The sequence below is a fragment of the Homo sapiens genome, chromosome 3 (assembly GCF_000001405.40).
Source record: "Homo sapiens chromosome 3, GRCh38.p14 Primary Assembly".
Taxonomy (NCBI): Eukaryota; Metazoa; Chordata; class Mammalia; order Primates; family Hominidae; genus Homo; species Homo sapiens.
The window spans coordinates 111,591,946-111,619,162 of NC_000003.12; the positions used below are offsets into that span (position 1 = coordinate 111,591,946).

Sequence of the window (27,217 nt, forward strand, 5' to 3'; positions counted from 1 at the left end):
AGGCAAGACACCACTGTTACACAAGGACATCCTCTGCTTCCAGAGAGGTTGGTGCCCACAAAGTACTTGGGCTATCTCTGAGATAATGGGATGCTGTCTTTATCTATTCCTGTCTTCCCAAGCTCTTTCCCCACTCCATCCCCATTCCCAACCCACATTATGTTTTGTTTTTTAATGTGTGTGTTTGGTTGGAGGAGGGTGGTGTGGTTATAGAGGAATCTGTCTTCTATAACAAATATCAGGTCCAGTGCAGAGGCCAGAGTACTTTCCAGTTTGATTTTATTCTATTTCTAAATTAATATTTTAGGCATACTTTCAGCAGCCCAGGAAATTACTCTCTCCCTATAGACTGTTAGGATCTCTTTTTTCAAAGCATCTCTGAACATTTAAAGGTAAACAGTTTTTAAAAATCAGTGAACAGTGGATTGGCATGCAGTTAGCATTTCAGAGGTATGAGTAAAATCTAAAACCTACTGTTCAAATAAATAACTGGTCTGTAGGCACAAAGCAAAATCAAGTTAACTCATTAAAATTAACTTCAGGATCTAAGAAAATGTACTCCATCCTTCCCTCATTCAGACAGTCATGTTCTCTTCCATTTTCATGATAAATTTTCCCTAGAGCACTGTCTCTCTTCCCCATCTTTGCATTTCTTCTCTATCCCATTTATTTCTAACTTTCCTTCCTCTGTTCTTTATTTCTCCTTACTTCCTTTATATCTCTGCCTTCTTTTCATTCTGAATTTCTTTCAGTTCTTCCTCACTAACTCCTTTTCCTTTGACAAACCTTAATATGAAATCAGATTATATTTTAACTATTTATGAATAAGTTTTATATAATCTATACTGAATGTTTAAACTAAGTAAGTTGAGAGGTTTTTCATTTCTCTGTGCTAATTACACATTAATTAGTTTAAGCATTAGGTTGTTAAAAAGACACACCGGACTCAGATTATACTGATGAAACAACTTTAATATAAGCAAGAAAATACATTGCAGCAATAACAGGAGAAAGAGACGCATTGGAAAGGTCCAAAGATCTGAGGCTCACAGTTCTTTGTCCTTCCACTTGCTGGGTCACACAGAACAAGCTTTTATTCATACTGGTGGTCTGGAAACTCCACCAGTACATGTGCTAAGACCTCAGTCCTAGGAAGATTAAGCTCTGCTTCCGGCAGGGTGTCTGCAAGTGAGCTGGTCACATAGGCACATTCCAGCTACCTAACCAGCCTCAGCCCTCAAAATCGTCAGCTCCACCAAAACCGAGTGCTAGGCAAAAATCTGATTATTTTGTTAAACAACGCTGACTGGCTGGTACATTCTGCCCTGAAACAACTCACAGAGTTTTACTTTGGTAGAAGCATTTATCTTTAATAGGTACATTTTAGAGTTTCGGCCAAGGGTCAGCAGAGCTCTAGGAACCTCGTAGATAAGCATTTGGTCAATTCAGACCTGCTCAGATTAACTCATACTGTGCACTATTTCACATAAAAGCAAAATGTCACCAAACTACTTTGCTTTACATTTGAGTTGAAACTAAAATGGCTCTTTTCTACAAGTCTAGAGTCAATGTTTTCAGAATAGATTCTCCAAGCCCAATTTAAACAAAATGGAAGGGATGTACTGCTGCAGGCAGCTCTTTCTCCCGCTGGCATGCCTCCTTCTCAGCCCTCACCTTCCACTTCATCTCCAGGATGGCCCTTTCCACCTCCTCCAGGGCTCGCTCCCTTTTTTCCACAGCCCTCTCCCGCCATTCCACTGCCCTTTCCCTCCTAAGCACCTCCTTTTCCCTTTGGCTGGCCCACAAAGCCATGGTGCCCACCTGCTCCAGGAGCCTACCCCAGTTACCCTCAATGCCTGTGGGGAGCTGGGGCCCGTGGGGCCTTGGATCCTGGCGCTGCCCAGCCTGACCATGGCCACTCTTCTCCAGCTCCTCTCTGTGCATGCTTTTCAGATGCTTCCACAGTGCAGTGGTGCCCACGTTGACCCCAGGGCCACGGCTCACCTGCCTGCCACACAGGCGGCAGGTGGCATACTGGTTGGGATGGTGCCCAGCACGAGCAGGAGCTAGGTGGAAATATTCCCATGCCTCAGAGAACCGGGTGCCCTTGTTGTGGGGCATTGGAGTGGGCATAGCACTCACAAAAGGGCCAACCAGTTCTCCTGTCTCACTAATCTCTTCCTCCTCCTTCATCTCTAAGTCCCCTTTTGCCTTCATCATTGTTCCCTCCTCTTCCTCGTCTTCCCGCCTCATCATGTCACCTCTTCTACAGCGTTCTTTATGATGTGCTTAGATGTGAGCCAAAAGCTTATTTGAACCACAAGATTAAATATATATTTGGGAAGGGCCTGTGGTAACTCTTGGGGATTCACAATAATGGCCAAAGTCTGGCCACACCTGGGTGGTGTGAGGTTTCTTCCTTTCTGCTTCACTGGAGAGTCAGGGGTGAGTCAGATACAAGCAAAACAGCCCAAGAGTGCATTCCTTCCATGCCCCAGATACTTACTTATCCTCCCTTGACTAGGCCAGAAAGACAAAACATATCAGTTCCTGTAGCAAAGGGGTTCTCTGGTCCAACAATTACAAAGCTCTTTGATGAACTCAGTGTTTTCTGCATCAACCACCACGACAGGTATTTTTGAATATTGAAAATTTTAGGTTTTCTTGTTTCTCCTCCTGGTTGTTTCCACTGTTTCTGTGCTTCTTATTTCCTATAATTGCATTTTGGAGGCAGGAGAAACAGCCTCAGGGTTCAGGCTTTTCAGGACCAACAGAGCTAGGGCCTCACTGGGTCTTGCTCAAAGTAGGTAAAAGCAAACACAGGCAGATGCTGGTGCAGGAGACAATCTTGCTTCCTAAGAACTGTTGCAACAAGCAATCCAGAGTAGACAAAGCCTATGAGGATCTGGATAATAAAGTTCCCAATGCAAGGTCAGTTTGTCCTTAGAGGTGTCTCTCAGAGGCCAGGAGTCTAAGAAATCCAAAAAGCAAGCTCAGCTGTTTCAGCAGGAGGAGCTGGGATGCACAGAGGAGAAGGTGGAGCACATCTTCACAAACACAGCGTTGCCTGGCTGTCCTTAGCAAGCAGCTCACCATACTCCACCTTCTCCACCAGGATCACCTGCAAAGCCAACAGCCAATAAGACCTTCCTGAGGCAACTTACTCCAGATGTTTTGCTCTTTACCTCATTTTAAAGATAAATAAGTAAATGGAAAATCATATTACATTTAAAAACAGCCCGACTTCTCTCTCCTTTCTTGGGTCATTTCTTAAACTAATGAGAGCTTTATTTAATCAAGCTCTGCAACCGTGAACAGTTAGGAAATTCCCCCCAGCCACAAGTGGGTACTTACAAGCAGGCAAGGCTCTGGACTTCTCTCTGATCTTTCCTGCGCAGAGTGAAAGCACTCCTGCACACCTTGGATGTCTATTAGCTGACTCCTACCCCCAGAAGGAGGGCACCTCCAGTTCTGGTTTCCTCCCACTTCTAGGGAAGCATTGTTTCCAGGTAGGTGTGTCTGTGCCTGTTGGGTTTTTCTGCAACACTTAGACACAGATGCAAACCTTTTCTCCACCCCCTCCACCACCAAGAAAAGGATGTTCCTGGCATATGTCATGCAGCAAAACAGTAAGTCAAGCACCTACAAGTCTTAGTTCTCTTTTTTGATGACTAGATTACCTAACCTCTCAAGTAAAGCAAGCGATTTGAAGGAGGAAGAGTGGGAAAGGCTGAAATATTAAATGTATACACACATATATATTATATATATACATACATTATATATAATATGCATAATATATATATGTGTGTGTATACATATTTAGATTGAGAAGGAAAACCTACCAAGAGGAGATAGGAAGACTCTAAAGAAGGTATCAATAGAAGAAGAAAAAACTTTGTGTTATAAAAGGAAAGATAGAAATGGCATTGCAGGCCAGGAGCCATGGATCTTGCCTGTAGTCCCAGCACTTTGGGAGGCCGAGGCAGGTGGATCACTTGAGGTCAGGAGATCGTGGCCAGCTTGGCCAACATTGTGAAACCCTGTCTCTACTAAAAATGCAAAAATTAGCCAGGTGTGGTGGTGCACGCCTGTAATCCCAGCTACTTGGGAGGCTGAAGCAAGAGAATTGCTTGAACCCGGGAGGTGGAGGTTGCAGTAAGCCAAGATCATGCCACTGCACTCCAGCCTGGGCGACAGAGGGAGACTCTGTCTCAAAAAAATAAATAAATAAAATGAATAAATAAAAATAAAAAAAGAAAGAAAAGAAAAAGAAATGGCATAGCAGAAAATATGTAGAGGTTGACAGTTAAATTAAAATAGAAAAAAAAGATGGGGGAAAAAGATTCAAAATAGGAATGAGACTGGGAGGAGTTTTAGAACATGAACCACATTTCTAAACCAAATCTTGGAACGCAAAGTCTAGAGAGAGTCTAGAATGTTTGAAATTTGGATCATTTCAGAAAATCTGAACCTAGAGAATTCATGAAAGTCAAATCTTTTCAAAATTTTTAGACGTTAACCAGAGTTCTTCAGTGAGCCAGTTGCCTTCGTAAAATAATAACACCCCCACTTACTCCTGATATTACCATATCGTCATCTTTGGTGGGTTAACTAAAGAGAAAGGAAATGAATCATAAGAATGGTTAATGTCACTGGATTAATGCAAAACTTTGTATCTTTTTCTTTTTTTAAAAAAACATTTTACCTCCTTTACCTTTTTGTCTCTTCCTGGACCAACTGGAGATAAAAATCAATCTTTGGCATCTATTGAATTAAACTGAACACTCTCCTTTACTTAATAAGAATGTATTTTAGAGGATCTGGTTTTGCTTTTAATTTTTTAGTGGAGAGACTAGCATCCCTGGCCCATATATGTATCCCCATTATCTGGAAAGGCAAGTGTTGAACGGATGGGAATACTGGGAGCTACGGTGTTTGCCACCCAGCATCTTGGATATGCTAGACAACCCCCTCTGAAATTCTCTTGTTTCATTGGGATTTCTGTAGCAATGTACTGAGAAATAGTAAACTTCTGTAGGATTTCACCAGGAAAATGTTAGTTAGCATTCTCGAATTTGGTTTCTCAGCTCTATAGGCCCAGACTTCTTGGGAGTAACTAGTCTGAGGATTGGCACACAAATCATCACATACATTTAATTGTTCTTTACATGTTAACTAGTATATTCATTAATTGTGGAAAATATCTGAGAACTAAGAACTAGGGCTGGTCATATGTAAAATATATACATCTCTTGATGAGAAAACAAGTAATTATAAAAGGAATTATAATTTTGAAGAGTCTCAGATAAAACAATGGGAATCCAATAATTCTCACTGGATATTTTCACCAGACTGTAAAAGAAAGTATCATCCCCCAAAGAACAAACATAGCATTGAAAATAAAACATAACTAGCCCTGCATCTAAGTTCTCTGCTTTCATAATATAGTTACTTCTTTCATTTTTTTATTTCAATACAATTTTTATTAAAAAATATGTTGGACTGAGATTAAGGAGACATGGTTTCTAATTGTGCCATTAACTATTTTCCACTTCCTCGAACCACTGGGTGCCTTGATTTTTCCATTGGTCAAATGGCAAAAATAAGGCATGCTCTACCTATCCTTAAGATTAAGCCAATGAATTGTTTTTAAAAATTAGGAAAATGCTTCACAAGTAAAAAGTAGGATATTTATATAAATCGTTTTCTGTGATTGTTACAAATAGTGTCGTACATTATTTGGAGCACAGAAACAGCTTGTAGATCCCCTTGAGCTTTTAATCTAACAGACTATTCTTCTCTGGCCTCTGTTTGCTATAGCTTCTTCCTTCTATTCTTTGGTTTCCATTTAGTATTATTTTATTCTGCCTACACAGAGTTAAGATTTCTCCTTTACAGAACCCAGAATCCAGACTTGGAACATTAGTATAGTCCTAGATCCTTAAGTTGACCTAGGAGTATAGCCAGAAGTTTATAACATCTCTATAGGAGATAGCCCATTTATAGTGCACGTTCTAACACAACCTATATTAAAAGTAGACATTGCCTTCTATTTATTCAGTTAAAAATGGAGAAACTCTTTTTTGCCAACTTATATGAATGTTAGTAAGTTGTAAGGAGTACCAGTTTCTTAGGAATTTGCAAATAATCCTTTTTCTGTCTTTACCCCAGAGAAGATTTACCTGCTTACTAAAGAATGTATTTCCCAAAGCAAATATCACATGGTTTATAGATGGAAGTTTTCTTCATGATGAAAAAGAAGGTAAGGAAACTAATCAATGGAAATAAGTTCGGTACAAAAAGAAAGAAAACAAAGAACATTAGAAATTGTCATTGCCCAAGTTGATCTTGGCATTTAAGAATGATTCTCATTCCAAGAAAAACATCATTCTGCCTACCAAATGTCATTTTCTGATGCTTCATCTGTTTCTTCCAAGGGGGTGGAGTGTAACATTTTCCAGAATAAAAGAAATACAATTGATTTAGACAAACAACATCCAAATATTTTATTTAACTAGCAGTAAAAGGAATATCTTAAATGAGGACAAAAAGTTTAAGTCTACATATATTTATTAAAACTTTTTCTGCCTTTATAACATAGCTACCTGTTTTTCCATGTCTTTCTTATTTCAATACAATATGTTCAATTAACTTAGCACCGCTGCTTTAAATCAGCCAATAAATAATTTCTACCTTTTTATGTGAGAATCTGAGGCAGGTGTTGGTGGAGCACTAGAGAAAGCCTATGTAAAAGAGTTGGCTCCTTGACAAGGTACATGTTCCCCAGGAGGATTAAAAGTTCCTGGAGGAGGAACACACATCAAGACAAGCTCAGGTGAAAATTCACAAAGCCATGATTTTATAGATAGTAACCATGACAGCCTCTACCAGAATAATCTCAGCTGTCCCTGCCTGAACAACAGCTATTCTCCTTTCTCCTGAGTCGTTTTTCCTCCAAGTTCAATCTGTCTTCAATAATAACTGAGTCACACAACTCTTTCTGAATTATTTTTATTTTATTTTATTTTATTTTATTTTGAGACGGAGTCTGGCTCTGTTGCCCAAGCTGGAGTGCAGTGGGGCGATCTCGGCTCATTGCAAGCTCCGCCTCCCGGGTTCACGCCATTCTCCTGCCTCAGCCTCCCGAGTAGCTGGGACTACAGGCGCCCGCCACTACGCCCGGCTAATTTTTTGTATTTTTAGATGAGTCGGGGTTTCACCGTGTTAGCCAGGATGGTCTCGATCTCCTGACCTCGTGATCCGCCCGCCTCAGCCTCCCAAAGTACTGGGATTACAGGCTTGAGCCACCGCGCCCAGCCCTTTCTGAATTATTTTTAAATGATAAAATTGAAAGCTTATGTTAATGAGTGTATTGATCACTTGATGCATTTTGAGATTATTATTGGTTTTATTAGTTTATTTTTAAAAAAAATTCACCCACAACAATGACAGAATGCAATTCTAAAAATATAGGTTAAAAGTTATTATAGGCCAGGCGCAGTGGCACACACTTGTAATCTCAGCACTTTGGGAGGCCGAAGGGTGTGGATTACCTGAGGTTAGGAGTTCGAGACCAGCCTAACTAACATGGTAAAACCCCGTCTCTACTAAAAATACAAAAAAATAGCTGGGTGTGATGGTGGGCATGTGTAATACCAGCTACTTGGGAGGCTGAGGCAGGAGAATCGCTTGAACCTGGGAAGCAAAGGTTGCAGTGAACCAAGATTGCGCCATTGCACTCCAGCCTGGGCAACAAGAGTGAAACCCTATCTCAAAAAAAAAAAAAGTTATTATAAATTTATTCTCCTGTTAAATAAGCCCTGCATAGGCAAAGCACCCAGATTTCACCAAACTAGAGGCTAGATTTTGTGGTCAGAATTGCACTGGCACACAACTGCATTTAGCTATTACTTTGGTAAGTAATTACATCAGAATTGGTGTTAAGAATCTGTAATGTGAAAAAGCTGTAAGAATCCAGAAAATTCTGACATATAGTGATAGTTGGTTTTACATTAATTTTCTGCTGCCAAGTATGCTATTTGGAGGTTGTACTAACATAACAGTTTAAAACAGAGTTTGATTTCTAAAGAAGACTCACAGGACCCAAAATGCAATGCTTACAAATCTACAGCTTATTTCAAGAAGAGGAGACAACATAGCAAAAAGATTACAATATGCAGCATATCCTATCCTACACTTACAGCCAGGAGTCCAGAGAAGTCAGATATGAGCTCCTTCGTCCTTCCTCTCTAAGGGCCACAGCCAGACACACTTCCTCGCTCAGATCAGAGACTACTGATATATACACAGAAGAGCTCAGAAGTGGGTAGTCCAAAACGGAGTCCCAACTGAGATTGCTTTATATTTTACTGGTCACTTAGGTATATTCCTGCAACATAACCAGATTCCACAGCAGAGCTCTCCCAAGATCCGACCTAGACTAGGTATAAATTATCAGTCTCACAGTTGTCAACACACAATGCTGATGAGCTGGGATAATCTGCCCCAAAACATTTTGGACACATGGTCACAAACAAAGCAACACTATTAGTCAACATATTTTATACCCTGACCATGGATCAATGACATGCAGGAGCTTGAGCAAACAGCTCAAGTTAATTTCAGATCTGCTGAAATTGACTCTCACTGCAGAGAAGCTGCCATTTGACCACTTTAGACTCTACATTACCACAAATTGATCATGCCATGCCTTGGCATTATTGTATGGCTCATACATAAAATGTTAGTGTTGAACCATGTTCGTATCTGTCTGGCAGGAATATATATTACTAATGAAGAGAGAAAAGGCAAAGATGGATTTTTGGAACTGAAGTCTGTTTTAACAAGGGTACATAGTAATAAACCAGCCCAATCAGACAACTTGACCATTTGGTGTATGGCTCTGTCTCCAGTCCCAGGAAATAAAGTGTGGAACATCTCATCAGAAAAGATCACTTTTCTCTTAGGTGAGTTGTCTATTTAATAAGATCAACAAGAGTTTGCTAAGACTGCCATAAATTCAAAATATCTTTAATGGGAAGATTATCACTTCCATAACGTTTTAATCTCAGAAAACTTTTTATGTAACTCAAAACTATTTCAAGTTATCAAACATTTTTGACAAGTAGGACTCCAGTGAAAAGAATTCTTCAACTAAAAAGAAAATAGTTGATTCATGTTTTCACAAGAATTTCTGCTGCATACAGAAAATTTTTTGTTCCAATTTAATTCATCATAACTCTTAATTAGTTAGCATTTTTGTTAATCCATCACATATTGAAAATTAATACTAATACTGATGATCAAGAAAGATTTAAAAGACCTAAAATTCCTTCTGCATCATTAGAAACATTCCATTATGTACAACATATATACTTTTAATATTTAGGAATGGATAAAATGTGTACAATAAAAATACCATAAAAATAGGGATTGTATCTTAATAATTGTAGTATCCCTAGGTTCAAGCACTATAGTTAGCTAATAGAAGATTTTTATGATTGAAAATTGATATATAGGATTACTCTAGTTATTATATCATTTGACTAACCAGAGTATTTACTACCCTGAACCAGATGGAATAATGGAGATTTTACTACATAAAAGATGAACTAATACCTCAATAAATACAGTGACAACAGATATGCCTGAAGAAAAATAGAAGCAATGGCAACTGTCAGATATTCATATTTAACAGTAATCTTATAAAACGTAAATAGATTTGCAAATCATTATTACAACTCTATAGGAGCATTGACCTCTTAAACCACATCCTATTTTCAGAGATATCATAATCTATAACATACTCATAAAAACACAGAATAATTTAAGAAGGAAACAGTTTTTCTTTGTTACAAGGGCACAACCCGCATCTTGGGTTCTGTCCAGCTCCTTCACAGGTGCAGTGGTTGGTTATGAAGAAAAGTGTACCCAGCATAAATCTATCCCTACTACTCAGAAGCAGGTGTGATTCTGATGCCGGGGCACTGGCATCGCTCCCGTAGCCTTGCCTGTGTGTCTGTGTATATGTATATGTATGAACACATCATCCTGTGTACTTTGAGTTAATCATTCAGAAATTGTGATGTATTTACACTAAAATAGCCTTACTCAACTTCATCTAATTCCCTCAGGAATAAGTCAGCTCCTTCCTGGAAAGCTGGACATAATAGGGCTGCAGTCTTGGAACAATGTGGAGGTAGCTGATTCTCACATAGATTTGTCAGTAGCTTTGGCAGAATCTAAGGATGTGAGCTAAAGGACCCTAAAAGCTCAAATTCCTAAAAAGAACCCTATTCCCATTATAGGTAGAACCATGTCTGTAAAACTAATATTTTCTGATGTTAAAACAGTGCTTGATTTCAGTATCAGAAAATAATGAATACCTTTTTAGGTAATAGGAAGAACACTGATTCTGATACTGAAAACATACCATAATTCCAATTGTATAGGGCAGAGCTTGATCTAGTATAATTTGGGGCTCTGAACAGGTGGTTAATTTTAAATTGCCAAATGAGTCTTTATCCTTTATGATCAAATATTAAAGACAATTAATCTTTAGGAGTTCAGTTTCTCAAAATTATAGCTTACATTCTCATCCCATTCTGGCATATATCTATGTGACTGACTTAGAAGATGTAGTCAAGGCTCTATAAAGCAGTGTCATCACTGTATTATGTCTCCCTATTGTTGCAAGCTCTTAAACACTTACTTCCACACAGGCTGTCTGTCTGTGATGGTACTGCCGGATGCTTTATGAACTCCGGAGTAAACTTCTGATGTGTGGTGCAAGAGTCATTGCCTTACCAAGCTATTTATTGTTGACAAGATACTGAGATGAAGACACAGAAGAAAAATCTGCCATCCCTGAGTGCTAGATTAGAGAAACGCTAAGAATATTACACATCAGGAAAGAGTTTTAGTGAGACAAGGGGAGAAGTTTTGCTCTCTTTGATCCCTTTTGCTTCCAGAAAAGGGTATTAATGTTGGAGACTGTGAGGTAACAGCCCTTTGAGGTGATTCCTTCTCCACCTACGCCCAGTCTCCCAAGTGTTCAGTGATCCCTATTCTAGAAAACTCAGACAGGGCATGGGATTAGGGTTAGGGTGATCAGTGACTCTTCAGGCAGCTATTTGTGCACTAGGACCTGCAGAATTCCCATGATCCACAGTAACTACCACTAAGAAAAAAAAGCCTTTCAAAAATATCATGGACCAGGCACAGTGGCTCATGCCTGCAATCCCAGAACTTTGGGAGGCTGAAGCAGGAGGATTGCTTAAGTGCAGAAGTTCAAGATCAGCCTGGACAATATAGTGACACTTTGTCTCTACCAAAAAATTCAAAAAATCAGCCGGGCATGGTGGCGCACATCATTAGTCCCTGTTACCTCGGGAGGCTGAGGTGGGAGGATTGCATGAGCCCAGGAGGCTGAAGCTCCAGTGAGCCGTGATCATGCCACTACACTCCAGCCTGGGCAACAGAGCAAGGCTTTGTCTCAAAAAAAAAAAAAAATCCCGCCCTGCTAGCATGTCAAAATGTCTAAAATCATGGCACTGCTGAGTCTATTTCTGGCAGATTTGAAGAGCTGGGTTTTGTGGGTTTTGTTTTGGGGAGTGGATAGGAGACATTTTGTCTTGTTTTAATGCAAAAGTTGAGTGCAATACCCCCTGGGGTGGATAATATTTTGGTTGTCATCTCCCTTGACAGAGATTTGTTTATTAAATGGATTTCTGACTGTAGCTGTTGAGATCAAGACCTTTGGGATAGAAACAGAGTTAAGCATTGACAGTTGTGTAGGTGTATGTGTGTGTAAGTATGCATGTGTATCTTCGCATGTAGAAAGAGGAGTAATAAAAAGATATCTTAATAGTGGAACAGGAGGACCACTGCATATTGGTGTGGAAGATGCCAGACAAATACTTCCTGTTTCATGACTTCCCTCAGTGCAGCTGGCCTCATACCCTTGACTGATCCTTTCTGAGAGTATCAGTTGAGAACTTTAATATGCATATAAATCACCCAGGGATCTTGCTAAAATACAAAAATTCTGATTAAGTAAATCTAGGTGGGACCTGAGATTCTGCATTTGTAAAAAGACCCTCAAAGAAACATATTCTGCTTGTCTATGGACAACATTTTGAGAAGAAAGGACCTAGCAAGCCCTGGGATTTGGCTTACTTCTAGGTGGATGAGATAAGGGCTTATACAAGCTCTGAGGAAACCCCGGAATTAAGCCAGTTGCCCTATGGGACAGACCCATGGCTGCTGCTGCCCATGAGGGTGGTTCTGAGAGCCCTGCCAAGCCTACTCAAATGGACACACCCAGGAACAGATGAAGTGGCTTTAGGCGGCAGCTTACCCTCTTATGACATTATGGTAAATGCAATGATCTGGAAACTGGCAGAGGTGTTTCTGCTAAATTCTGCATTTGGGTTTTGGGAAACTGTCTCTCCTTTTTAGGTTTTAACCACTCTTTTCATACCCCTGAGTTTTGTTTTGACCAAGGCAGAGTTTCCACTTTACAGTCTAATCTAAAACTAGACAGACATGTTTAGGTCCCACATTTTATGTGGAAAGCTATGTTTCCCCTCTGTCACAAGGCAAAGTGTTCATCTCAAAATGCACATCTTACAATAATATCTTCTTAATACACTATGAGGCTGAACACCTCAGCTTACAAAATCACTTGGTGATGAAATATGGCAGAAAAGTATCCTCAAACTGAAATGTTCAATCAATGAAAAATAAATGTTTCCCATTGTGGAAACTGAGCATAACGCACCAATATCTTCTGTTCCAGGAACTGGCAACCTTCTTCTGTAAAGAGCTAGATAGTAAATATATTTTAGGCTTTGTAGACTTTTTAATCTCTATCACAATTACTCAACTCTGTCACCTTAGCACAAAAGCAACCATGGACAATAGGTTAAAAGAAAAAAAGGGAAAAACTGTGTTCCAATAAAATTTTTATAAACATGATTTCACTGTAGGCCATAGTTTGCCAACCTCTATTTTAATCAATATACAGAGAAAAACATCTAGGCATTTATTTTCCAAGCCAATGTCCTGTCTTATTAAGGTACCACTTTGGAAGATAATGCTTATGATCCACCAGCTGTCAGACACACACTTAATGCTGGTCTTCTTTCTTTCAGTGTTAAGAATAAATTTGCATGCATTGATTCATCTACTTCCATTTGCCAGAATCCATAAATATGGTGTGGAGCAAAACAGTGACTTCCCTTGAGGGGCATATATGATGACACAGTGATGAGGCATTTGCTAGGGTAAACACTGAGGGGTGATCACATCACAAAGATCCCCAGGCTTCCTCAGCTTGAGAAGGTACATTCAGGAAAGTTTGGGGTCAGGAAACCACATAAATTAAGATCAAGAAGTCCCAGAAGTCACAGAGAGAATATTGTGTTTCAGAAATTGGGTTGAAATATTGCTTATTGGATAGAGGGGATTATTTGAGAGAGATGGAAAAAATGATAAGCAACATCAGGAAATTGGGAGTGTAATGACAGCCCAAATCATAATTAGACTTGTGTGTCATGCTGAAGAGTTCAAACTTATTTTGGATGTATGAAGAAAAAGGATGGTCATTTTGTTAACCTATTCATATACTTCCCATATAACCGTCCTCCACCTCCTCAGAGATTATTTGCACAAAAGCATTCATATAGTAGTGGATCAGAGCTAGCTATGAGTGCCACCCACAGCCACTGGCAATAGCAGTGCTACTAGCAATAAGAATAGAACATACATGCATCTAGCTTAGAAAAACCAATTCCTCCCACGGGGCTATGTGCTATCAAGTGACATAATGTAAGTAAAATATACTTGTCCCTTAAAGTACATTACAGAATAGAACCAATAGTTTAATTAGTAATTAAACATCCAAATAATTGATATATATCAGCAGATGTGTAACACTGTAACCAGTAACATTATATCTACAAAAATCATAAAATCTTCTAACTTCAAAATCATCTAAGCACATTTAACCCACATGTTCCTAAAGTCAATAGAGCCTTCTGGCATTTGTAAATTGTCCTTCCAATAGGACTATTTTTAAATACAGTAATGGAGATTTAAGGAATTGACATAAATGTAAAATATAAGTAAAACCACATTCTAGCCTCTGTTTCAACTCCCCCCAACACAGACACACGCACGCACACACACAAAAGAAAAAGTTGTAGCCAAACAAAAATATTATGACAAAAGTTGTCATGTTAGAAAGCAGAAAAACATCACACATTTACTAATGTTACATCCAATTGGGTAGTTGTATCATTGTTTCTACTCTTGCTGATATAAAAATTTTTGTGAGTTTATGGATTTTGTAAACTGCATGATTACTTTTCAAACACTTGAAAATATTAAATGCTATAATAGTTTTACCAGGTCTTGGTAAAGTGTAACTTTTTCCAGGGAGCCTTCTCAGACCTCCCAATCTTTATCAGTGCCCCTTCGTTGTGTTCCTGTGGCCACCTATGCTTTCCACTGTCATGGTACTCAACACAATGCTTGGCTGCCTAGTTTCCAGGCCATAGGCCCTTTAAGGACGATCCCATGTCTTCCTCATTCATCATTATATCCCACTGCCTTGACCTTAATAGGGCCCCAATATTGATTTGTTACATGATGAATAAATAAAGGAAAGTGTATTTAAGAACTAAGTCAATACTTTATCTTTTGATTACAATATTTTGTTCATTATAAATCTCTTTCTAATCCTTTAAGGTTCTGAAATTTCCTCAACAGACCCTCCACTGAGTGTTACAGAATCTACCCTTGACACCCAACCTTCTCCAGCCAGCAGTGTATCTCCTGCAAGTAAGAATGTTTTCACACTGAGCTATTGATTTAACCAAGCAGATTGATAACGATAAAATTTCAGCAAACTTGCATCATTCATGCCTGTTTCTTAGCTATGACTTTTTTGGGGCTGAAATTGGGTTTTATTTTTTAACAGCTTTATTGAGATATAATTCACGTCACATTAACTTGCCCATTTAAAATGTATGATCTAATGGTTTTTAGTATGTTCACAGACTTGTACAACCATGACTACAGCCAATTTCAGAACATTTTCATCATCTAATAAAGAAACTCCTAAACATATTAAAGTATCATTCTCATGGCTTCAAAGAGTTAACATAGCTTCCAAAATCCTTTACTTAAAGCCCTGGGAAAATCAAGGTAAATAAATATTCAGTGAGGAATTTAAATTCTGTATTTATTATTAAATAGGTTAATAAATGACAGTCATTCTCCAAAACAATGTTCTCAGTGGGGAGTTTAAGAGATTGGTTGTAAATGGGGATAGGCCAAAAGAGGTTGAATCCTTTTAAATTTAAATTTGTTCTGGTTCAAATTAATGTTGACAAAGTTGACTGGTAAGGACTATGAATTCAGCCCTCCCATCTGAGGCATCATTAATAATGGAGGTCAGTCTGGGTCAGCAATGCTATGGCAAAGGAGTGGCAGTGACTCTCAAAACTTGTCATTGATGCAACAAATCATAAATTCCCACGTCTGTGGCTTTTGTGTCTAACAAAGAACCATGGTGACTCTCTAATACACAAAAGCTTATATTCTATGTAAAGTAGAAGTATGGCTCTCATTTCTCATTTAATTAAAACTATCAATTTTAGCTCAAAATGAGAACTGAAAATGGAATAAAACAAAAGCAGTCAGTAGGAATGAACAATTCCTTTGGCTGGTAACCTTTGGCATGTAGCCTGCAGTCGCTGTCACAGGTTGATACTTCTCAGAAAATGAAGCAAGTGGCAGAAAAGCTTGCAAACCACCCATCAAAAGTTTCATATCCATCTGATTTTCTCATGTTCTTAATGTTTTGTAATTTTTCTTTTCTTCTTTTTTTGAAGCCTCTTTTTCTTCTACTTTTAACTCACTGCCGGTTAATCATGGCATTTTTCATTTAACAAGTATTAGCATATTCAAAAATAATAAAACCTTAAATCTCTCTAGTATCCTGTGTATTAGTTATCCATTGCTGCATTAAAAATGCCCCAAATTTTAGCAAAACATATATTGTCGCATATGGTTTCTGGGGGTCAGAAATTCAGGAGCAGCCTAGCTGGAAGGTGCTAACCTGGGTTCTTTCATGAGGTGCAGTCACACCGTTGGCTGAGGCTTCAGTCATCTGAAGGCCTGACTGGAACTAAAGAATCTGCTTCTAAGCTCTAGCATATAGATGGTCTCAGTTCCTCAGCACATGGTCTTCTCTATAGCTCTGCATACAATATGGCAGTTGGCTTCCTCTGGACCAAGTAATTCAAGAAACAGTGTGACTAAGTCAAAAGCCATATTGCCTTTTTATGGCTTAGTCTCCAAAATTGCATGTCATTACTTCTGCTTTATTTTATCTACTAGAAGTAAGTCACTAGGTCCATCTTATACTCAAGGGGATGAGAATTAGGCTCCAAGTCTCAAAGAATCTGTGAACAAATTAAAGCCACCATACCCTGTCATTTAGAAGTGTCTGTAAATAAAAGGCAATGTGGTTTGATCTTTATTATGAGTGGTAGACAGAGCAAGCATTATTGTTCCCACTTGCCAGATGGGGACTTTAAGACACTGAGAGCTTAAGTGATCACATACCTAGTAAGTGACAGTGTTTTGCATTCACACCACAGTGTTATGACCAAATTTAGTTCTCACCACATTAGACACCATTTTTTCTCCAGTTGGTCTAAACATATCGTGAGAACAGGAACCGTATTTGTTTTTCCTCCTAGCACAGAGTAGAGAGTCAAAAACTATTAGTTGAATAACTAACTGAATGAATGAAATAATTAATAAGAATAATGTTCCTTCACTATGTAGATGTTATTTAATAGATTATTTAATGCTAAAGAAAAAAGATAAAAATAGATTTCTGCCTTCAGAAAGGTTGCAGTCTACTTGGAAGAGAAGGTATACACACATAAAAATAATAATTCAAAATACTAAGATGAAAGGTGGTGTACCTTACAGAATTAAAATGCCCAGGGAGAGGTACAAACCAGTAAGTATTAGACTTTGAAAGTTCTTTGTGAGTTCATGGGCTCAGAAAATGTTACCCGGGAGAGATGAAATAACTTGACCTTTGAAGTATGTATTGTATATATTTGACTCAGTGGAGAGCTCGAAAGAACGTTCTAAACAGAGAAAACAAAGTGAGCATTTGTGCAGTGACAAAGATGTTTATGGGCATTTGAGAAAGCATCAGTAGATAAGTTTGGATCAAAGAGGTGGTATTGTGTACCAAAAAAACAGGGATGAAAATTGGAAAATGCAAAGTAAACAAAGCCTTGAGCCCCAGTTTAAGGACTCCAAATGCTATCCTTTATGAAATGGGGGAAGGACCTCATTCCACTTTATTTTAGAAAGAAAGTGGTATTATTTATTCATCAAATATTTATTGAGCACTTACTATATATCAGGTACCTTTGTAGGTGCTGTGAATACAGCAATGAACAAAACTGAAAAAAAAAATGTCCTCATGGCATTTATATTCTGCTAGTTAAAAGCAGACATGAATTTCTTCTAGTTGCATTTTTATGGGGTTAGTCTACATACACTAAGTGCTTATATCAGTGCTTACAAACACAATTCTTCTGTGACAAAATTCAAAGCAAAAGAAAGCAGTTGTTACACTTCAGAAGCCTACAATTTAATATAGTTTTAGTATTAATGAAGGAAAGAAAGCACAGTCAAGTACCATATTTGTTTAAAAAGCAGGGGGGAAAAATGCCACCTGATCTACTATCACACTAAGACGATGTAGTTGGGAAGTCTGTGCAGACTCAAAAGACCTCCGTAAAACAAGGTTCCACCACATTGGACCTGAGGATTGTGTTAGATAAGTGGTTGTCAACCAGGGTAATTTTGCCACTCCAGAGGACCTTTGGCAGTGCCTGGAGACATTTTGGGTTGTCACAATGAGGGTAGGAGGGTGCTACTGGCATCTAGTGTATAGAGGCCTGGGATGCTGCTAAACATTGTACAACACAGCCCAGAACAGCCCTCACAACAAAGAATTATTTGGTTCAAAATGTCAATAGTGCCAAGGCCAAGAAGACTTGTTTTAGATCAAGGCTTAGGTGTAATTACAGTAGGTATCTCTTACTTTACAAAATCAAATCTGGATTTCTGTCAAGATGGCAACAATAGTTTATGTTTGGAATAATTTTCTGTTTGATTTTGTATGTCAATAAAACTCATGTTAAACCAGTGGCAGATTATGTCTAAATAAACTTATCTTTTTGGAATAATCACTGAATTACTATTGAAAAATCCAAATTTTGCCTTGGCAAACTGGAGGGTAATTGTGAAATCACACGATGACTTCCTGCCTCAGAAGCTGGTAGGATTCACCTTTGCATGTTCTTTGAAGAAAGGAAGTGAGATGAAGTATGTCACGGAAACCAACTTCAAAGGCTGTGGTTTCATTCCGAATTCTAAGATGTAATGAGCTTTATAATCCAGTCATCATTACGAAGCTGCATGTCTGGCTGCAAGCATCCAATTCTTATTTTTTCCTCGATGAAAGGATATTTTTTAAACAAATGTTGAAGGTCATGAAAGCAATATTCTTTAATGAGGGGAGGAGAACTTAATAACTCATAACAAACTGTAAGAGTTATCCAGGGAAGCCCAGCTCAATTCAACCTGAACCAATTCGTGTTTGCTGAGTCCCAGCTGCATTCTCAGCGCAGTTCAAGGAAGACAGGCTGACAAGCTAAGTGGCAAGATGAGACAAGTCCATGTGGAACAATCAGAGACAACTGATGAATCCAGGGTGGGGCTGTACAGACACAATTCAGGAGTTTCCGTCGCCTTGAGGAGAGAGCCCTGTGCCTTTCAATTCACTGGCTATGATTTGGCTAAGAGTTACGTAGCCTAAGAGATGCCAACCCGGTGTGGCAATCATCCAAGACACTTATTCATGAAACTCATAAGTATGGAGCGCCTACAATGTGTCAGGGACTTTTGAGGTACAGGATACAGTGATGAACAAGACAGACAGGGCTCCTGTTGCTTACAGAGCTTACGATCCTGTGTGACCCACTTGCCTTGCCTCCTGTTTTACTGCCCATCAGTCCCTTTGGCTCTGCCTCCTATTGTTATGTCTGCACATGACCCTTAGACCTGATGATGTTGATTTTAATATTAAGCCCTTTCTAAGGACTTAGCTGGTCCTCACTATCTGGGTCTTTCTATTCCTGGATACTTAGAGTAAAACACTAGGTCCAGTCTGCCTCTAACCCTCAGCCAGCACCCCAGGTAGACATAACTGATCTTCGGCAAGTGGATGATCAGACATTGAGGGGCACAGGGTAAAGGAAGCAACTGACCAGGGGATGCAACAAAACTACTGATTTATGAGTAAGCATGTCAGAAATGGTGGGGGATCAACCCAGAAGACATGTCATTAGATGAGATTAGAAGAAAGTAAATCAGAAATTCGGCAGTTGATAGGGGCATTGGATTCTAGTGTTAACAGGGGAACGCCAGAGAGAGTCTGCAAGACAGTGAGAAGGCTCCAGTGATTTGTTTGTGATAGCAACTTCTGACCCCTTTGCTAGTCATGCCATGCCTGTATTCAGGTGCCTCAATTGCTGTCCAATAGTTTCTGCCTTTATCAACATGTATCTGCTGCTGAAAAGTAAGAAAAGTCAGTGAGTGCTGGGGGAAAGGAAGGGGGATCAGGGAAGTCTTCATGCAGGGTCTGGAAGAAAATACTGACTCAGGTGGAAGAAAGATGAGAAATGGATCTTCACATTCGCATCATAAGCAAAGGCGTAAAACAAAATGAGTGCAGGACATGAGAAGACAAGCAGGAGTTCTGACATTGCTTGTTGGGAGAGGGCTAAGGGTTGATTAGGTGGGGTGGAACAAGGTAAAGATGAGCTTCAACTCATTTAGCCCCAATTCATAGCCCACAGCCCAGCATGTCTCCTTTATGCTGGACTGAAGGTCAGTGCCCATGTTATCCTGACCACGCAGATTGATGAGGCCGATTCAAATGTGTTTAGATGTAGTTGAAGGCCTGTATTGTCCAGTTAATGTCACTACTGTGTTTAAACGTCAACTAATGGGCTATGAATCGGGGCTGTGATCTGAACAACAAATAGCCACTATGGCTTTTTTTGTATGTGGGAAAATGTCAGGAAAACAGCAGTTATGTATATGGTAGGTGATAGTTGCAAGAGCAGGGAGAAAAAAGACTAAATGATATAGATTTAAAGTGGTTTAAGTTTGTTTTCCATGATCACGAAGGTGGTTAAAAAAATGATATGATCTGAACTAGAATGGGCATTTGTAGAAATGGAGAGTGCTGCAACAGAGGCTCACCAGGATTGTCTGCCTAAATACAGGGACTAAAAAGGTTTTCAGAGAACAATCATACAAGGACCTTTCCATTTTTTCCCTAGCAATTACATAAAAATGTTTACCAACTGCCATGATTGTATAATAATACTAAGCAATAATATTAATATTTGTTGGTTGCCTCCAATGTGTATGGACTGTTCTAAACTAGTAAATGTATTTTCTCATTGAATCCTCCCAACAACACAATTACTTAGGTACTATTATTATCCCACTTTACAGATGAAGATACTGAGGCACAAAGAGGTTAAATAACTCACCCAAAGTCATGCAGAAAGTAGATGAGCCAGTATTGAGCCCAGACAGACTTCAGACCTTGAGTCCTGCTGCCTCAAAGAGTACATGGTTGGTGCTGAATAAATGTCTTTAGACACTGAATAAATCCCTTCTAGTGTGAAGCTGTTATAGGTCTTAGGAAAAGGTCAAACATGACACCTATGCTTATATTAATCTCTCCCTTTTTCAGACCAGTGTTTTCCTGAGACATGCAGCATCTGAGAGTGAAGATAACATTTCCTCAGTTGGAAATAAATTAGAGAAACCCCTCCTGCATCTGTAGCCCACCCCCGCCATCAACACTATTATCATATAATTCTCACTGTAGATATGAATCTACAGAATCCATACAAAACTCCAATGCTTTTCCTTGAATCCTGGGAAATTCTGTTTATTGTATCTTTTTCATCACCTTCCACCTGGGGCACACAACATTCTGCAGACTGTTAAAAGGATTTTTCTTTTTTCTACATCTGTCACCTGTAAGTCAAGGTTAGCCTTCTTGATGACTAGTTTACTTTGGGTATTCATCTATTCAGTTACTCCCCTTGGGGTGAGATTCCTCAGGGTAAAAGCTATCAGTTGACCTATTTTTCAGTTTATTTCATAATTATTGAGTATCTACAAGCTCACCACATGATGCGTGATGAGCTCTGTCCTGCTTACTGTCATCTTCCCCAAGGGAGTCCTGAAACCCTTTCTGGACCAGTAATCCAGCAATACACATTATTATTCCCCATTTAGTCAGCACATGCCCCAAACAATCTGCCTCCCACATGAGAAAAATTTTATGCAGGGTTTAGATTTAGGTTTAGGTTTCACACCTCATGTCTCCTTTATGCTGGGCTGAAGGTCAGTGCCCACGTTATCCTGACCACACAGATTGATGAAGCTGATTCAAATGATGAAGCTGATTCAAATGATGAAGCTGATTCAAATGTGTTTAGATGTAGTTGAAGGCCTATATTGTCCAGTTAATGTCACTACTGTGTTTAAAGGCTCTTTGTGCTGCAGGTGAATTGATGGAGAGCAATTACACATTTGTCCAGAAACTAGATGGCTAAGTCTAAGTCTGTGCTATGCCGATAGGTGCTATAGTGATAGAATGAAAGGCCCAATGGAAATATTTCTATTTGAGACAATAAGTTAAATTTTTAGGTTCAGTTTTACATTGGAATAAGGCAAAACCTTAGATAGCAGAGTCTGACTAACCAGATAAGTTAACCAGCAGCTTGAAACTTACAAATAACTTTTACCTTTGTACTTGGTTGATTAAATAAGCTAAACCGGTAGGTTAGCAAAGAATAATTTTTACTTTTTCCATTCTTCTCTGTTCAAATGAGATATATTGAATAATTTTTTCTTGGCCTCTAAAAGAAATTTCAGACAGATTATTTGGCTTTTTTGGTGATTTCCATATAATAAATGTCATCTGGTCCTTTTCAGCCACAAGAACAGACCTGTGTCAATAATTAAAAACTCTTGTCAAATGTAATGTCAAAACTCAAAAAAGTTAATTTAGTCCAGAACTTCTTTCCTCTTCCTTCCCCCAAGTGTGGCTCTAACTCAACTTGGAAACGCTGGGATATGTGAGGTGGGGGTAGGGAAGAGACAGGGAATGTCTCTGATTCCCTGACTTGGCTTCATCCTCTCCTCCGCTCCTAGCTGCTGGCTTGGGTCCCTCTTTATGGGGAATGGCGTAAGAAGAAGAGGGAGAGGTAGGTAAGGAAGGAACTTCCTTAATAGGCTGGATGTAATCTGACTTAGGTGTCCTCTGGATGAGGAGAATAAAAATTGCCATATTGACTTCATGGGGCACTCTGGCAGATTTTTCAGAAATCCCTGACTGTCCTATGGCTGCTGTCCCTTGGTGCAGGCCATGCCTCTCTTCTGGTCTTCTGCTTCCTTCTCTCTGCAGCCTCTAAACTTCTGAAGGTCAGCTCCTCTTGGGGGCTTCTTTGTTCCTCTAGGTGTTCTTCCTGAGTGAGATTCTTTTCATGGCACCCTATTATGTCTGGAAAAATGTGCACCTTTGCCTACTCTATGGGGGAAGTGCTCCTCTTCACCAGTGTGGCCCTGTCTCTCTTCTCCATGCCCATTCAGAGCCACTAACCAACCATGGACTCCTAATGCAGCCTCTCCAGCCTGAGTAAGGCACCATGCCCCTTTGTCCTAAATTCCAGGACACACAGGTCAAGAGATATGAGTATTTCTCTCAGATCCACACTTCGCTTGGTCTAAAGTGAAGGAGCGGATTCTTCTTCATCTTCTCCATGAGGGAGGGCCTGATGCACAGGACCCTTCAAAGGAACTCTTAGCCAGTCTGCTCCCACCCCGTCACACAGCTTTGAGGTTGATGATGGACCACCACTGACAGGTCCCACTCCACACTGCCTCGCATGTCCTGCATAGGTGGGCTAGAACCCTGCTTTCAACGTGAGGTGGCTTGTGCCCTGTATTATGGTTCTTAACCTTTGGAACCTCATCTGAAATGAAGGTACAAGTATTCCATTTAAAAATTTTGTTCTGCATTAACCATTGAAGAGTTAAAGGAAATACAGTGAAAATGAAGCAAACATGATGAGGTGATGGTTAACCCACTGAGAGGATCCACAGAAAGCTGTAGTTCTTAGCAATAGTGTGATGGATGGAAGATAAACACTGAGTTCTAGAAGCATTGGCCAAAGGTGAGGATGCTTGAGGAACATGAAGGGAGACAGGAGAATGCAGAAAAGGGAAAGCTTTCACGTGGGTGGTTCCTTCTTCTAAGGGTGATTAAAAGCAACAGAAGAGACTAAGCAAACAAAATACCTTCTATAGCACTTGGTTCACAGTAAGTGTCAACATGTTGTATTCTATTATTAGAACCTCTAAATCCATTTGGAAATACAGTAAGAACCCAAGGTAGGAAATAGAGTGGCTGATTGACCAGTCTGTCTTTGTCTAAGGGGTGTGTGTGTATGTGTGTGTCTGCGTGCATGTGTGTTTTAATAAAAATAATCTAGGTTTAGAATGAAAGCAAATAATCTAGGTTTAGAATTATGTATCTACTTGAGATAGATACTGATGTAAACAAAACCAGGCTCACAAGGACCAACATCTAGTGAGGGGAGGAGGGAAGTGGGCAGTAAAGATGAGCAGAAATCTACAGTTAGCATGAAAAGCCACATTATACCCTACTTGATATATCCCCCACGACTGCCCTCTCCCTTTCTCTTGCTTTGCTCAGCCAAGCTAGCCTCCTAGCTGTTTCTTCAACATACCAGGATTTCTCTCATCTCAGGGCCTTTTAACCTCACTTCCTATGCCTGAAAAATTCTTCCCCCAAATATCTACATGGATCACACCCTCATCTTCTCGAAATTTTTGTTCAAATGTCACCTTCTCGATGAGGTACTCCATGACCATCATATTTTAAATTGCAGCTGCCTCCCACCCCATTTCCTGTTCCCCTTTTTTGGCTGTATTTTCTCCATAACACATTTTAACACCGTCTATAAGTTACCTGTTTGGCTCCTCTCCACACATAAAAAAAGTAAATCTGATGAGGGCAGTGTTTTTTATCTTATTTGTCTACTGATACAGCTGTATCACCTAGAACAATGATAACACATGGTTACCAATAAGTATTGATAATTCAGTAAATATTTTTTAAATGGAGAATTTTTTTAAGTATAAAAAAGAAGAGATTAACAAAGGAAGGCTTTAGGGAATGCAGAGGATATCTCCCTAAAGAAAAGCCATCTGGCTAGGGCTGATGTCTGGGTAGCCTTATGACAGGAAGCTGAAAGGTGGTGGTGGGACAGGAAGCTGAAAGGTGGTGGTGGGACAGGAAGAGAAGCTATCAAAGGCCTGCTATTCTGGGTGGTTGCGTGCTAGACATCATGAGTGAGCTCTTCCGTGGCTAGGCCCTGATGATGATGATGCATGCTGCAGCAAGGCTAACTACACTTATAAGGCTACCAGAATGGAATAAATATAGTCTTTAGTGTCAGACAGCCTTGGGTTCAGTTGTTGTCTCTGCCACCTACTGGCTCTGTAGCCTAGAGCAAGTCATTCTGATGGCAGCAGCTGCCCGACTGGACTAGCTGCTGTGGGGATGCCAGCTGTAGTGAGGGAGGCCTGGCTGGGACTGTTGAGCCCGTAGAGGCTGAGAACAGGAGGGAGCCTGCCCCCTACTGACTTGGCAAGGCAGGAGCCCTGGGCTTTCAGGGCAGCTGCAGCCACCCAGCTGTGGCTCCAGACCCTGACACCCCTGCTCTCTTGAGGGCCTGGGAACACCCCCGCTTCTGCAGGCTCAGAAGGGCCTGCTTCCACCCCCTGGACTCTTCCCACTCCCAGCACCTGCTCCAATTTCAGAGCAAAGATGAGGCTCAGCCCAGGCACTGTCACAACCTGGCCAGGTGTGTGCACACTTGGGGCAGCACTGACACACCAATCCCCCACCTTGGCCCCCTCCAGACTTTGGGCGCCAAGGAGCACAGGAAGGAGGCAGCAGGTGGAGATGGGCTGAGGGCAGCTGGGTGCAGGCCTGCAGGTGCCATTTGGTGCAAACAGCCTGGGCTATGGAAGGCATGATGACAGTGGGAGGCTGACTAGGTTCCTGGATGGAAAGGTGTAGGTCCCCAGTGAAACCCCACCTTCAGGCCAGGCATGGCCTGAAGCCTGGGAGCCAGGCTGCCAGTTCCAAGTGAAGTCCATGGATATGAGTAATAACTTCATCGATGACCACTGGGCCAATTGGATAGTGCTTTTTCCTGGCCTGCCTATGGCCATCTATGGACCAATCACCATGCACTTTCTCCCTTCTGAGCCCATGAAAAACCGGGGATTCAGCCAGACTCAGAAAGAAGTCAAGACTACCAGCTGTGGGAGGGAGCTACCCACTATGGGTCTCCTCATCCAGACAACTTGCCTGCAGAAAGGAGCTACCCACTACAGGTCTCCTCTCCACTGAGAGCTGGACACTCATTGGGACAGCCTGCATATGGAAAGGAACTACCCACTTCAGGTCTCCTGAGAGCTGTTCTGTGGCTCAGTGAAGCTCCTCTCCACCTTGCTCACCCTCCAGTTGTCAGCATACCTCGTTCTTCTTGGGGGCGAGACAAGAACTTGGGACCTACTGAATGGTGGGACTGAAAGAGTTGTAACACAAACCCAGCTGAAACACACCTCCCACCTGCTCACCACATTGCAAGCAATGAGAAGGAGAGAAGAGCTGTGGCCCTTCAGGGAGCCCAGACCTAAGGCCTCCCAGGCCAGGGCTGTAAAACCCTCTTTGGAGCTCTACAGTTCCTGGCATCTCCAAGCTTTCTGGTGCCACAGTGTTCCCCTTGTCCAGACACCAGTGCCTGCAGCAGAAACTGCTTGCCATACATCTGGTCCAGCAGCAGCATCACACAGAGTCGGCACCCATGCTGGAGCCTGGAGATTCCCACCCTGCCTCAGCAGCCAGTGTGCCTGGCTGTGTGCAGTGGCCAGACCCCACGCTCACTCGTTCACACACCCCTTGCTGCTCTGCACCTGGCTCACCCTTGGCAGGTGTGGGATCCAGGCTGGTAGCACAGACCAAGCACAGCCTGCCAAACCAAGTGGGTGGAATGAGCCCAGAAGTGTGAGCAATACTCAGGCAGAAGGTGCCACTGGCCACAGAATTTCTGGCTGGCAAAGCAAGACCTCAAGGATCCCGTGACAATTTCACCTCTGTAGTAGTTTCCTTGTCTTAAAAAAATGAGAGTAACATTATCTAGTTCATACAATTATTAGGAGAATCAAATGTGAAAGTGCATAAAAAACAACAATGAAGCTACGACTCATACTGTCCAGTTTGAGAAGAAATGTCATGATTAAGAGTCTAGTAAGCAAAAACCATCTCAAAATAAATCAAGACCTTTATATGTAATTTTTAATTCCTTGAAGGAGGAAACAATGACCAAATTTATTTCTCTCTTTTTTTTTTTTTTTTTTTTGAGACAGAGTCTCGCTCTGTTGCCCAGGCTGGAGTACAGTGGCACGATCTCAGCTCACTGCAAGCTCCGCCTCCCAGGTTCACGCCATTCTCCTGCCTCAGCCTCTCGAGTAGCTGGGACTACATGTCCAGCTAATTTTTTGTATTTTTAGTAGAGACGGGGGTTTCACCGTGTTAGCCAGGATGGTCTCAATCTCCTGACCTCATGATCCACCCGCCTCAACCTCCCAAAGTGCTGGGATTACAGGCATGAGCCACTGCGCCCGGCCTCGCTTTTTTTTTAAGTTACCAGCTTATTCTTTATGCTCCACTTATGCTACTTTGCAACTGCTCACTTGCTTCTTTTATTTGGCATATAGTAGGTCCATATTAAATTATTTTTAAAATCTATGTTGTTTGGAAAATATTTCAGTATTTCCCAAAAGTTAATCAACCATAGGTCTTCTAGCCTTCCTCTACCTTTCCTTTCTCTAGCAGTTAGGTCACTAGGAAGACTGGCAAGAGTATAGGTTAAGAGATTCAGTTCTGCTTAATGATGTCACATGGAGATGACCAGAATTA

The 27,217-nt window shown here is 40.6% G+C and overlaps 2 protein-coding genes across 17 annotated transcripts in view, besides 4 other annotated features; one reads left to right on the plus strand and one right to left on the minus strand.

Moving 5' to 3' along the window:
• Positions 1 to 27,217, plus strand: part of CD96 (CD96 molecule) — a 123,800-nt gene that overhangs the window by 49,749 nt on the left and 46,834 nt on the right. For 14 of the 16 annotated variants that reach the window (XR_007093273.1, XR_924090.2, XR_241462.2 and 11 more), the window contains 3 exons: positions 6,175 to 6,265; positions 8,781 to 8,969; positions 14,755 to 14,847. Coding sequence is in view for 6 of the 16 variants with exons in the window: in NM_198196.3 (NP_937839.1) it covers positions 6,175 to 6,265; positions 8,781 to 8,969; positions 14,755 to 14,847 (373 nt within the window). In the remaining 10 variants the exon portion in view is untranslated. Of the gene's footprint in view, positions 1 to 3,376; positions 3,630 to 6,174; positions 6,266 to 8,780; positions 8,970 to 14,754; positions 15,136 to 27,217 lie in introns of those variants that run through there. The other 2 variants (XM_047447184.1, NM_001318889.2) reach the window with 2 other exon arrangements.
• On the minus strand, positions 955 to 3,401 carry ZBED2 (zinc finger BED-type containing 2). Its single transcript, NM_024508.5, has 2 exons — positions 3,355 to 3,401; positions 955 to 3,121 (listed from the first exon to the last, which is right to left on the minus strand). Exon 2 carries the CDS (start codon positions 2,254 to 2,256, stop codon positions 1,600 to 1,602), a length of 657 nt encoding a protein of 218 aa, NP_078784.2. The 5' UTR covers positions 2,257 to 3,121; positions 3,355 to 3,401; the 3' UTR covers positions 955 to 1,599.
• Positions 17,893 to 19,092: an enhancer, noted in NCBI's record as "P300/CBP strongly-dependent group 1 enhancer chr3:111328685-111329884 (GRCh37/hg19 assembly coordinates)". NCBI's record gives its function as "activates an origin of replication core promoter dependent on BRD2, BRD4, P300/CBP, MED14 and CDK7 cofactors, with strong dependence on P300/CBP, by STARR-seq in HCT116 cells {active_cell/tissue: HCT116}" and the evidence as "EXISTENCE:reporter gene assay evidence [ECO:0000049][PMID:35650434]".
• Positions 18,485 to 18,534: a silencer, noted in NCBI's record as "silent region_14598". NCBI's record gives its function as "represses an Ori minimal core promoter by ATAC-STARR-seq in GM12878 lymphoblastoid cells {active_cell/tissue: GM12878}" and the evidence as "EXISTENCE:reporter gene assay evidence [ECO:0000049][PMID:35858748]".
• Positions 24,558 to 25,058: an enhancer, noted in NCBI's record as "H3K4me1 hESC enhancer chr3:111335350-111335850 (GRCh37/hg19 assembly coordinates)". NCBI's record gives its function as "activates a minimal SCP1, AML or CMV promoter by ChIP-STARR-seq in naive H9 embryonic stem cells {active_cell/tissue: H9 hESC(naive)}" and the evidence as "EXISTENCE:reporter gene assay evidence [ECO:0000049][PMID:30033119]".
• Positions 25,059 to 25,559: an enhancer, noted in NCBI's record as "H3K4me1 hESC enhancer chr3:111335851-111336351 (GRCh37/hg19 assembly coordinates)". NCBI's record gives its function as "activates a minimal SCP1, AML or CMV promoter by ChIP-STARR-seq in primed H9 embryonic stem cells {active_cell/tissue: H9 hESC(primed)}" and the evidence as "EXISTENCE:reporter gene assay evidence [ECO:0000049][PMID:30033119]".